The sequence below is a fragment of the Homo sapiens genome, chromosome 9 (genome assembly GCF_000001405.40).
Source record: "Homo sapiens chromosome 9, GRCh38.p14 Primary Assembly".
NCBI classification, from domain to species: Eukaryota; Metazoa; Chordata; class Mammalia; order Primates; family Hominidae; genus Homo; species Homo sapiens.
Genome location: NC_000009.12, coordinates 74,856,704 through 74,869,129, shown reverse-complemented (window position 1 = coordinate 74,869,129; position 12,426 = coordinate 74,856,704). Strand labels below are relative to the sequence as shown.

The window sequence follows — 12,426 nt, the reverse complement described above, 5'->3', positions numbered from 1 at the left end:
TTTTTCCTGAATCTCTTGAAATTGATTTGTTCATCGTGGACAAAATTGCCATTCTTCTTATCTTCTTTTTAGTATTAAGTATGTCTTATCAGTTTTTCTTTGAAATTTTCTACTTTGATAATGATGCAAACATTTTACTAAACTGAGAAACTGTCTCCCTTCCCTAATTCAGGTATCAAACCACCATCCTGGCTAGTAAGTCTCTATTCTCTATCCCCCAAACTCTTTCTTCTGCATCCTTGTTTAGATGTTTCTGAAAGTTCTTGACCCTTTGATCGTCTCTATTATCTGTCCTTCAGTGACCTCATGGCTTTTGTCATCACCTTAAAGTGAACCTCTTCTAAATTTTCCTCTAGGCTGAAATCTCCACGTTTCTAACCACCATGGACACCCTCGCCACCTTTTAAAACCTTTGTTGTCTTTCAAGAACTTTCATAAATTCCATGTCTTCCATGAAAACATCTCAAGTATCTACAGGCAGAAGGAATTTCTCCTTCACTAGTGTCCTGTTGCCTACGATTGTAACATTTATGACCCACTTCCTTACTTAGTATCCATTTGTTAACATAAGTGCTTCTCATTTGCTGGTGGCATTTGGGACACTTTTTATTTTATTTTATTTTATTTTATTTTTTGAGATGGAGTCTCGCTCTGTCGACCAGGCTGGAGTGCAGTGGCATGATCTCAGCTCACTGCAACCTCCACCTCCTGGGTTCAAATGATTCTCCTGCCTCAGCCTCCCGAGTAGCTGGGATTACAGGCATGCACCACCATGCCCAGCTAATTTTTGTATTTTCAGTAGAGATGGGGTTTCATCATGTTGGCCAGGCTGGTCTCAAACTCCTGACCTCAGGTGATCCACCTGCCTCGGCCTCCCTAAGTGTTGGGATTACAGGCGTGAGCCACCACACCCGGCGGGACACTTTTTTGTTTTATTTATTTTAATTAGAATAACATGAGGTGTCAAAGTTTTTTTTTTTTTTGCGGAGTCTCGCTCTGTCAGGCTGGAGTACAGGGGTGCAATCTCAGCCTACTGCAACCTCTGTCTCCCGGATTCAAGTGATTCTCCTGCCTCAGCCTCCTGAGTAGCTGGGATTACAGGCCTGTGCCACCATGCCCAGCTAATTTTTTTTGTTTTTAATAGAGTTGGGGTTTCGCCATGTTGGCCAGGCTGGTCTGGAACTCCTGACCTCACGTGACCCTGTGCATCGGCCTCCCAAAGTGCTGGGATTACAGGCGTGAGCCACTGCGTCTGGCCATCAAAGTATTTTTTTTTAAATGAATGAATAAACCTATTATTCTTAGAGGTATCAATTTTTCTTTTCATTTGTTTCTTCCTTTCGAGGTTTCAATGTTTTAAAAGAGGTGGATAAACTGATAGGATGTATCCTGCCTATGGATTGTAAAGGGCTGGTTCCACACTTCGCAAGCTTCCCAAGGTCACTGAATTTAACGACATCTTCTGGAGGGTGGGTGTGGTAGGCATTAAAGTTGGCTGTAAGTTTAGAAATTGAATGCATTCCAAACTACCCTTGAAAAGTCCCTTTCATTGAGCATAAAATACAGTACATGAAGATTTTATCTTGTGTTGGAACTTTCTTCAGTTGAGTACCAGATTAAACAGGGGATCTAGAATCTACTCATTAAGATGAGGTATGCAGACTAAGATATGCATGTGGGAACTGAGACCATCTGGGGAATGGTATATTCTTGCTCTCACAGACTCCACTCTAGTGTCTACACACAGTCACTTGTGTGCAGTAGTTCTCTGTATGTGGTCCAAGGACTCCTAGAGGTCTCTAAGACCTTTTCAGAGGGTCCTCAGAGTCAAAATTATTTTCATAATGGTACTAAGATGCTATTTGCCCTTTTGACATATTTTCTCATGAGTGTACAGTGGAGTTTTCCCAAGGGTACATGATGAATACACAATGATCTAAAAAGGCCATTAAAATACTCTCCCTTTTCAACTACATGTCTCTGTGAGGCAGATTTTCTTTGTATACTTCAAGCAAAACCACTTATTGCAAAGGATTGAGTGCAGAAGCAAACATGAGAATTTAGCCATCTTTAGCCAGACATGAAAGAGATTTGCAAAAACATAAGACAGTGCTCTGTTTATGAACTTTTTTGGAAAATTTTTGTGTTAGCATGTAACAGGTTAAAATGAACTAATAAGTAAATATTTTTAAATGTCTCAGTTTTAATTTCATATGTGGTAAATATTGGTAGACATAATTTAAATAAACAAAATACTTTTTGGAGTACTTGGTAGTTTTTATGATTATGAAAGGATCCTAAGCTCAAGAAGTTTCAGAACTGCTGCTTTTGGAAATAAGATACTCCTGAGGCTGGATGCGGTGGCTCACGCCTGTAATCCCTGCACTTTGGGAGACTGAGGTGGGTGTATCACCTGAGGTCAGGAGTTCAAGACCAGCCTGGCCAACATGGTAAAACCCTGTCTCTACTGAAAATACAAAATTAGCCGGGTGTGGTGGGGCATGCCTGTAATCCCAGCTACTCAAGAGGCTGAGGCAGGAGAATCGCTTGAATCTGGGAGGTTGAGGTTGCAGTGAGCCGAGATCACGCCATTGCACTCTAGCCTGGGCAACAAGAGTGAAACTCTGTCTCAAAAACAAAAAAACAAAAAACAAAAAACCCCCCCAAAAAAATCAAACCTACTGATAGTGGAATGACAGTGAAACTGCCCACACTATTAAAACTGTTTTTCTCTCTGTCTTATTTTTCACCTTCTAGCCTTCTCTCATTCTTTTAGCAAAGCTTTTGAATTTGTCTAAGTTACACACGTGGTATGAGTGTCCCCCAAATTTTAAGGAGCAAAATCCAGTTGTGTCTTCTTTGTGCTGTGCTATACTGAAAAAAATAAGACAAATAATCTCCATTGTCTATATAAACCTTACTATGAATGTCATAAATAAAATTTAACCTGTAACTTCTTTTTAAAAATGTTTCTATTTTTTATATTATTGGACGTAGACACGGGGTCTCGATATGTTGCCCAGGCTGGCCTTGATCTCCTGGGCTCAATGATTCTCTAGCCATGGCCTCCCAAAGTGCTGGGATTCTAGGCGTGAGCCACCATGCCTGGCCAAACATGTAACTTCTAATAAAGGCTTTATTGTCTGAGAGGTTGGTAAGTTTCCTAAAAGTCAATTATTTAACAGTATATTTTCCCCAGTCATGGTGGTACATATCTGTAGTCCCAGATTCTCAGGGGGCTGAGGCAGGAATATCACTTGATCCTAGGAGTTCAAGGCCACAGTGTGCTGTGATCACGCCTGTGAATAGCCACTGCACTTCAGCCTGGGCAACATAGCAAGACTCTGTATTAAAACAAAAATAAAAGCATAGTTTCATGAGCCACTCCAAAAAAGACTTTATTTTAGGTCATGTAGTTTATTTGCATGTAGTACTAGTAAAGTTTTGGATAATTTAACAAGATATTTGGAGCATAAATGAAGACCATCTGTGTACATAGATAACAAATTTGTGAGCATTTTGGAGCTTGGAAATTGGAGAGAATTGAGTGCATGTAGGTGGAAAATCTAACCAGATTAGAGTGGTTGTACTACAAATAGGCCCAGCATTTGGTTAAATCTCTGTATTTTACTATCGAGGGACAGTTGTAAAGTACACTCATAAAGGAGACTTCCATTTCCTCTTCCCTTTTTATCAGAATGATTTAACAAGATCTGAAATTATAAATGTTTCATTTGCATGTTTTATTCCCCAGGAGACTGGTTAAACCCTGAAGCGTGAGTGACAACTGAGGAAAAGGATGTCTTTCGCTGCTATTTTGAAATTGGGTTTTGGGGCTGAAATAATGAGGGCTTCAACCAATTTGGAAAGAGGAAGGAAGGGGTATGATATCACTTCACTTTTCACCTTTCTGATGCACTTTACTTGGAAGGTTACTGTTGAGTTCCTCTAATCCCCTATTTGGCTCCAGGAAGATTTATAAATGTTTTACTCCTTAACTCTTGAGTTTATATAATCTAGAAATTCATTCTGACGTTCCATTTTTTTTTTTTTTTTGAGAGGGAATTTCTCTCTCATTGCCCAGGCTGGAGTGCAGTGGCACGATCTCAGCCCACTGCAACTTCCACCTCCTGGGTTCAAGCGATTCTCTTGCCTCAGCCTCCTGAGTAGCTGGGATTACAGGCGCCCACGACTGCGCGTGGCTAATTTTTTGTATTTTTAGTAGAGACAGGGTTTCATCATGTTGGCCAGGCTGGTCTCGAACTCCTGACCTCAGGTGATCCACCCACCTCAGCCTCCCAAAGTACAGGGATTCAGGCATGAGCCACTGCACCAGGCCTCATTCCAAGGTTCTAAATGCCTTTGCTTAGCAAAGCACTATGTGAAAATGTTAGTAAAATTTCTCAACTACTCAGGAGAAATGGCGTTTTAGGGAATTGTGAATTATTTAGTTGACATTCAATTTTTAGAGATGTTACCAAAAATAAATTACTACCAGCTAAATAGTGCTCACCTTTTACCACCAAAGTGAGATGAAGGTGTAAGGTTACTTTGTGTTCTCTGCCTCCTGGACAGACTATTTAGTGGAAAATCAGTCAACACACTTTCTGGTAGTGTTGGTGGAACAGGAACTTGGTTTTTAGATATTTTTAGCCTGGATGCTGTTTTTCTGAGACTGCCCCTCTCGGATCAAGTGTCAGGTAGGTATCCTTGCAGAATTTGGACAGATAGAAGGCCCTGAGCTGACACTTGAAAGTGGATGGGCTGGCTTTGCACTGATGGATTCCCTGAGCCAACAGATTGATTGATGGTACATCCTGATGTCCATCTACCTGGCACTTTGAAGGGATTCTTGCTTCAAGGGAGGCACTCTGAAGAAAAAATAACAAATGTTGATCTGGAGTCTGAAAATATTGTCTATTTGACCCATTCTAGTGTTGTGAATTCCAAGATAAATAAAATAATGCTCTCTTTTGAAGTGGATTACAATAAGGTTAAGAGAGAGAGAGAGATGGTCCAGTGAATGCAAGTAAACATTGTTAGTGCTGTGATGTGTGTAAGAGAGAATGCAGGAAATCAAAATCGGAGTCAGTTATCAGTTCCACTGAAGAAGTAGTTGTTAGATGATAGATTTTTTTTAAGGTGCAAAAAAGTTGTAGAAAGAAAACAAATGACCTGTTATCTTTGTCTCCCTTTACCTCCAATCATGCAAACTTGTGGATGTTTTTTTAAAAAAAAAAAGGTTGCCGGGCGCGGTGGCTCATGCCTGTAATCCCAGCACTTTGGGAGGCCGAGTTGGGCGGATAACAAGGTCAGGAGTTCGAGACCACCCTGGCTAACACGGTGAAACCCCATCTCTACCAAAAATACAAAAAAAAATTAGCCGGGCGTAGGTGGTGCATGCCTGTAGTCCCAGCTACTCAGGAGGCTGAGGCAGGAGAATGGCGTAAAACCCGGGAGGCGGAGCTCGCAGTGAGCCGAGATCGCGCCATTGCACTCCAGCCTGGGAGACAGAGCGAGACTCCGTCTCAAAAAAAAAGTCACTTTTTTGAAGATTAAGGAACATCTGTGAAATTATGCCTTCTCAGAGAGTACCCCAAGATAATTTATCTGGGAACCCTAAAAAGCCATAAAGTGGAAATACAGTTTGAACATCCCTACTCTGAAAATCTGAAATGTGAAATGCTCTAAAATCTGAAACTTTTTGAGTGCCATAAGCGGGAAATTTCACATCTGACTTCATGTGGCAGGTGGCAGTTGAAATGCAGTTAAAACTTTGTTTCAGTCATGCACAGTGGCTCACGCCTGTAATCCTAGCACTTTGGGAGGCCGAGGCGGGTGGATCACTTGAGGTCAGGAGTTTGAGACCAGCCTGGCCAACATGGTGAAACCCCATCTCTACTAAAAATACAAAAATTAGCTCGATGTGGTGGCAGGAACCTGTAATCCCAGCTACTTGGGAGACTGAGGCAGGAGAATCACTTGAACCTGGGAGGCAGAGGTTGCAGTGAGCCGAGATCGTGCCATTGCACTCCAGTCTGGGCAACGAGAGAAACTCCGTCTCAAAAAAACAAAACAAAACCAAACAAAAAACAAAACAAAACAAAAAAACTTTGTTTCATGCATAAAACTATTTATTTATTTATTTAGAGACAGAGTCCTGTTCTGTCACCCAGGCTGGAGTGCAGTGGCATGATCTCGGCTCACTGCAACCTCTGCCTCCTGGGTTCAAGTGATTCTCATGCCTCAGCCTCCTGAGTAACTGGGACTATAGGCGCCCGACACCACGTCAGCTAATTTTTGTATCTTTAGTAGAGATGGGGTTTTGCCATGTTGTCCAGGCTGGTCTCGAACTCCTGACCTCAAGTGACTTGCTCGCCTTGGCCTCCCAAAGTGCCGGGATTACAGGCGTGAGCCACCACACCCGGACAATTTTATGTATAAATTTTTAAAAAATATTGTGTAAAATTACCTTTTGTCTGTGCATATAAGATGTATATGAAACATAAATGAATTTCACATTCAGACTTGGATCCCTCCCCAAGGTATCTCACTATGTTAGTCTGTGAACATTTCTTTGCAATTCCCCAGCCTGACCTCAGGCCAAAGATTAGATATAAAATCTGATTATGTTTTAGGATGACACAAATTGAGACCAACACACCATTTCCCTTCTTTCTCCTTTGCCTTTCCCTCCCCTAAATTACAACAATTAAAAAGCAAAAAACATCCAGTCGATGAAGACTGCCATGATAGCTGCAGAAATGTCAAAATCCTTACTCTCAACTACCACGACCACAACAAATTTGCTGCTCTAGTGGCAGAAGCTAGCACACTTGGTGTTTGTCCTATCAGAACCAACAAACATTTGGTTCTCTGTTGAACTGAACATGGAGGCCTCTCGGAAGTGTGCTGGAGAGTATATTGCAAAGGAACTATTACGAGGTTGGCAGGGTGGGAAGTAAAGTTCTAAATTGAGAATTATTTGAAACATTTTCAAGCTAAAGGCTGCTTTTTTTTTTTTTTTTTTTTTCTGGTAGTTTTGAGATAAGATAACCGGAGTTGAAGGAGGAAAGTTTCCACATTCTTGTTATGACACGGGCTTCCTGTTTACACCTTTGGAGGGAAAATAGTATACATGGGTTCCTGAAGTTCTATTTTCAGCATGTTTGTTGCTCATTCAACAATCATTGGGTTAGGCCCTGGGGCAATAGAAATGACTGGCATGGGGCCTATAGGAGTTGGAGTCCAGGGAAGATGTGAGCCTGTAAAGGTCATTAAATCATAGTATGAGAGGAACTGTGAGGGAAATTTGGAGGTCAGGAGGCATTATTCTATGAAAAAAAAAATACATCAAAGTTAAGTTCCCAGACCATTAACCCAAAGCCAGTTTTTACTTTTAATATTGCTAGTAATAATACCTGAGCTTTATTCAGACTTAATAAGTCCCAGGAAGAATTCTAAACCTTTATCTAATCCTTTCAATAGTTCTATGAGGTACTATTATTATCCCCATTTTGATAGACAAACAGGCATGAAGAAATCGAATAATTTGTTCAGGTAGTCCTACTACAAAGCTGCCATTCAGCATTTTGAAAGAAGTGAATGGTTGAGCACAGCTTGCCTATTTTGTCTATACAGGCTTCTACATTAGATACCCTTTTAGCATCTGTTTTTAATAGTTAATTGGCCTTGAACTTGTCCCAGAGGCATGAAAAATACAAAAAATTAAAAAAATAGTTAATTGGTGCACATAAAGTTTAATGATATCAGTTTCTTATCTGTTTCCTCCTTTTTATTCTAACTTCCTTGAGAGCAGGAACTTTGTCTCGTTTGCAATAGAAGTCCCAGCATGCAGCGTGGGGGCCTATTCAAAATATTTGTTGAATGAATTCATAGATTCAGGTATTTTGAAATTCAGAATGAAGAATTCTTTGAGGACATACTGACTTTTTGTAACATGTTTGTCAGTGCTTTGCAAAAATTAGGTATTTAATAAATGTTTGGAGAATGAATAAATGAAATTGTTAACGTTTTTGAATAGGGGACAGGGCTGACTGATTCAAAAAGATAGTGTCATTTCTTTCTTTCTTTCTTTCTTTTTTTTGTGACAAGGTCTCACTCTGTCGCCCAGGCTAGAGTGCAGTGGCACAATCATGGCTCACTGCAGCCTCGACTTCCTTGGGCTTAAGCAATCCTCCCACCTCAGCCTTCTGGGTTGCTGGGAATTATAGGCACATGCCACCATGCACGGCTGTTTTTATTCCTGTATTTTGTAGAGACAGGGTTTCACCATGTTGCCCAGGCTGGTCTGGAAGTCCTGGGCTCAAGTGATCCACCTGCCTCGGCCTCACAAAGTGCTGGGATTACAGGTGTTGGCCACTGCGCTCAGCCGGATTGTGTCATTTCTTATTGAAATATAGATTTTGAATTCCCTGTTCATTTAGTTCCTTTTAAGTTCTGTGATTCTGGGTTGGGTGTGGTGGCTCATGCCTGTTATCCCAGCACTTTGGGAGGCCAAGGCAAGCAGACAACTTGAGTTCAGGAGTTTGAGACCAGTCTGACCAACGTGGTGAAACCCTGTTGCTACTAAAAATACAAAAATTAGCCAGGCATGCTGGTGCATGCCTATCATCCCACCTACTCAGGAGGCTGAGGCAGGAGAATCGCTTGAAACCTAGAGGCAGTGGTTTCAGTGAGCCGAGATTGCGCCAGATTGCAGTGAGCCAGGCTGGAATGCCTGGGCAACAGAGCAAGACTCCGTCTCAAAAAAAATAAAAAAATAAAAATAAATAAATAAATAAATAATTACATTGTATGACTGGGTTTTCCCAAGTTTTTTAGTGTTTTGCCAATTTAGTGAATGTCTTTTAATACATAGAAAATGCTGCTGAGCATGCAAAAAGAATAAGAGAGTAAAATGATTTAAGATGACTCTGGCCTTGATCTGGGAAGTTTTCCTTGTTTATAGGTAAGATTTAAATACACAGGAACCCATCAACTAATCTCTGTTTTTCTCCTTTCTATTTTACTTAAAAAAGTCTGGACTTCCATTATCTACAGTTCTGTTCAGTGATGAACACTTACGTTTAGGATTGGTGCATGTTGGACAAGATCCACTGAGCTTTTTTTGAGGATAGTGTGATAATGAGGTACCACAGCTGGATTTGTAGCATATTTTCTGGCCCAGTGCATTTCCTTCCACAGTAGAATGGGAGTAGATATGAGTGAGGTGGGGACTGCACTGACGTGGAGTTTGAAAAAGCTCCCTTTTAGAAAGCCTTCCTTTCATCTCTGTTCTAATATCTATGTGTGTATAAAGTAATATGGACACATATTCTTTTTTTTTTTTTTTTGAGACAGAGTCTCGCTCTGCCACCCAGGCCAGAGTGCAGTGGTGCAATCTCGGCTCACTGCAATCTCTGCCTGCCAGGTTCAAGCGATTCTCATGCCTCAGCCTCCTGAGTAGCTGGGATTATAGTTGCCTGCCACCATGCCCAGCTAATTTTTTGTATTTTTAGTAGAGACGGGGTTTCACCATGATGGCCAGGCTGGTCTCGAACTCCTGACTTCAAGTGGTCCACCCGCCTTGGCCTCCCAAAGTGTTGGGATTACAGGCATGAGCCACCACGCCCAGCTAGGACACGTATTCTTATACCATTTACAGCCAAAATATTTTTATATTAGAACTACTCACAAGTAGCTGGGATGTATAGTCCATCCAGTGTCCTCTGCCACTGGACTTGTAATATAGCTTATGGAGGAGCTTGGCTATGATATGGATTCTGTAGAATGGGAGAGAGTTTATTAGGAGGAAGAGTGAGTATCAACATCTCACTTGGATTTAGGGACAGTTCTAGGCTGTGCAACCTGAAACAACACACCCAATGGTAAAACTATGCTTGCAGAATGTGTATCGAATCTTGCTGAGTCACATCTCTTCTCTGACACTCTTTCCAGCTTCCTGTGAAATCTTAGCCAAAGTGGGACTTGATGGGTAAAAATTTTGAAGTTTCGGGAGCTTGGTATTTATTCCATAGGATTATGGTACAAGATATAAAAGTGACTTTTGGCAGATTTAAGAGGATATATCAGTTACATCTTTACTTCCTTGCTAGGGGTTTGTTCATGTAGGGCTTTTGTTACTCAAAGTGAGATTATGGGCATATTCACTTTGCGTGTCGTTTAATGTTCACATTTGGCTTATTTGTGCCTATGTTATCTGTAATAGAAACTGGTAAATGCTTAGCCTGTGTGGGGTTGGTCTTGGCATTTTAATTAGCATTCATGATACTTGAGTATTTCTTACCTGCAGGAACTACTATGGTTACATTGTTTTGTCACATAATTAGAGTATAAAATAATGACACTTTCTTTTTAGTCCCAGAAATCCTGGATTAAAGGAGTATTTGACAAGAGAGAATGTAGCACAATCATACCCAGCTCAAAAAATCCTCACAGGTAAAATTTTCAATTACCTTCTTCTTTTAAAAGCAACACTACCTGATGGACTATTTATAGAAACTTAGAAATATGACTTGTTTAGAAGTTTTGATCATATCTATAAAGTTAGAATTTTCAATGTTTATTTCTTTCACTTTATAAAAATAATACATGATTATTGTAGAAAATCTGGGAAGAACAGGGACCTTGTCCATTTTTACCTTACTCTTACTCCAGTGTCTGTGACAGTGCCTGCCACATAGTAGGCTCTTGATAAATATCTGTGTTTTTGTTTTTTTGAGACGAAGTCTCGCTCTTGTCCTCCAGGCTGGAGTGCAGTGGCGCAATCTCAGCTCACTGCAACCTCCACCTCCTGGGTTCAAGTGATTCTCCTGCCTCAACCTCCCGAGTAGCTGGGATTACAGGCACCTGCCACCACGTCCGGCTAATTTTAGTATTTTTAGTAGAGACAGGGTTTCACCGTGTTAGCCAGGATGGTCTCAATCTCCTGACCTCGTGATCCACCCACCTCGGCCTCCCAAAGTGCTGGGATTACAGGCGTGAGCCACCGAGCGATAAATATCTGTTTAAGGAATTTAATGAAGTACAAAGAAGTTATTCTTAATGCCGTCACTGTTAATATTGTCGTGGATTTCATTCTACTTGATTCTTCTGTTCCTCTTGATGGGAGGATAGACGTTACAGAAATATCTAGTGTTACATCCATTTCAGTGGGTTGGAATCAATAAATTACATTTTCTGAATACTGAATATTCAAAATATTGTGAATGTTTCTTATCCCCAACTAAAGTATCTGTGGAAAATAGTGACTGGTATATTTAAGTACACTGTGCCCAGATTAGATGAACAGGTAATTTCAGTTCCGTTTTCCTTCCATAGACTTTATTTTTATGGAATGCTTTATGAATTTGCATGTCATCCTTGAGCAGGGGCCATGCTAATCTTCTCTGTATCATTCCAATTTTAATATGTGTGCTACCGAAGTGAGCGCCCATAGGCTTTTGGATTGAGCAGATAATCGGTAGCAGAATGGAATAATTTGAGTTTGACTACTGAGTTCTTGACAATGCTTTGGAAGCTCTACTTGTAAAACAAAGGTCAAAAAAGCAACTAGTGAAAGATAGGGGAAGAAAGGGCTATGGAAAATTCCTCTGGGTAATCAGGTCTGTGAAATTAAGATTGACATTGCCCTTGGAAAAATTAATTAAAAGGAAAATAGAAGAGTAATATTTTAAGTAAAGGAACCAACCTATTTTTAGATTTTTTTGGGCATTTGTCCTTATATGCCTTTAAGGTTTAGAACTCATAACTATGTGTTATGAAGGGTAGCAAGGTAAGGTTTTTGAAATTCTAGTTCTTTGGAGATGACTGAAATAGTGTTCTTTGCCTTTGTTAAATATTTACTAGTCCCACCCTTATTGAATTACCTATGATTTGTAAGTCTTGTGATTGGAAATTCTCTTTTTACCTGCTTAAGAAAGGTTTATAGTATGCCAAGATAACCTTGTTTTTCCCCTTCATTTTTTATGACATCATGTGGTGGTGACTGCAATGGAATGCAAGTTGATTCAGGTGGCTCATTTTGTGTCTGTGAATAAAAAAATCATTTTTACAATAATCTTGAATCTCAAAAAAAAAGTGATGAAATTACTGAGTCTTTTACTAGCCCATAGACTCAAGAAGAGTATCAACGATTGTAATTCCATGAATGTTCCAAGGCATGATGTACTTTTAGCAAGTGAAAAAACTGTCTCTATATTGTGGGATTGTAGATAAAAGTTAAGGTATGATTATGGCTATTTCTTCTAGCCAGCCTTTTTTTTAGATCCTAGTAAAATTCTCAGAATTGAGGCTTTTTTGCAGTTTTCTTCATTATTGGTGCACAGGAAGTGGGTGATAATTCACTTTTTAAAATATCGATAAAAGTTTGTTTTATTATTTTTGTAGCTCCCAATAAGAAAC

At 40.2% G+C, this 12,426-nt stretch overlaps 1 protein-coding gene and 1 pseudogene across 3 annotated transcripts in view; one reads left to right on the top strand and one right to left on the bottom strand.

Annotated features, from left to right (window-relative positions):
* The window catches only part of TRPM6 (transient receptor potential cation channel subfamily M member 6), a 165,427-nt gene that overhangs the window by 18,792 nt on the left and 134,209 nt on the right, over positions 1 to 12,426 (top strand). For all 3 annotated transcript variants that reach the window (NM_017662.5, NM_001177310.2, NM_001177311.2), the window contains exon 2: positions 10,382 to 10,461. In NM_017662.5, coding sequence (NP_060132.3) covers positions 10,382 to 10,461 — 80 coding nt within the window. The remainder of the gene's footprint in view (positions 1 to 10,381; positions 10,462 to 12,426) is intronic.
* RNU6-445P (RNA, U6 small nuclear 445, pseudogene) lies at positions 11,354 to 11,453 on the bottom strand (annotated as a pseudogene).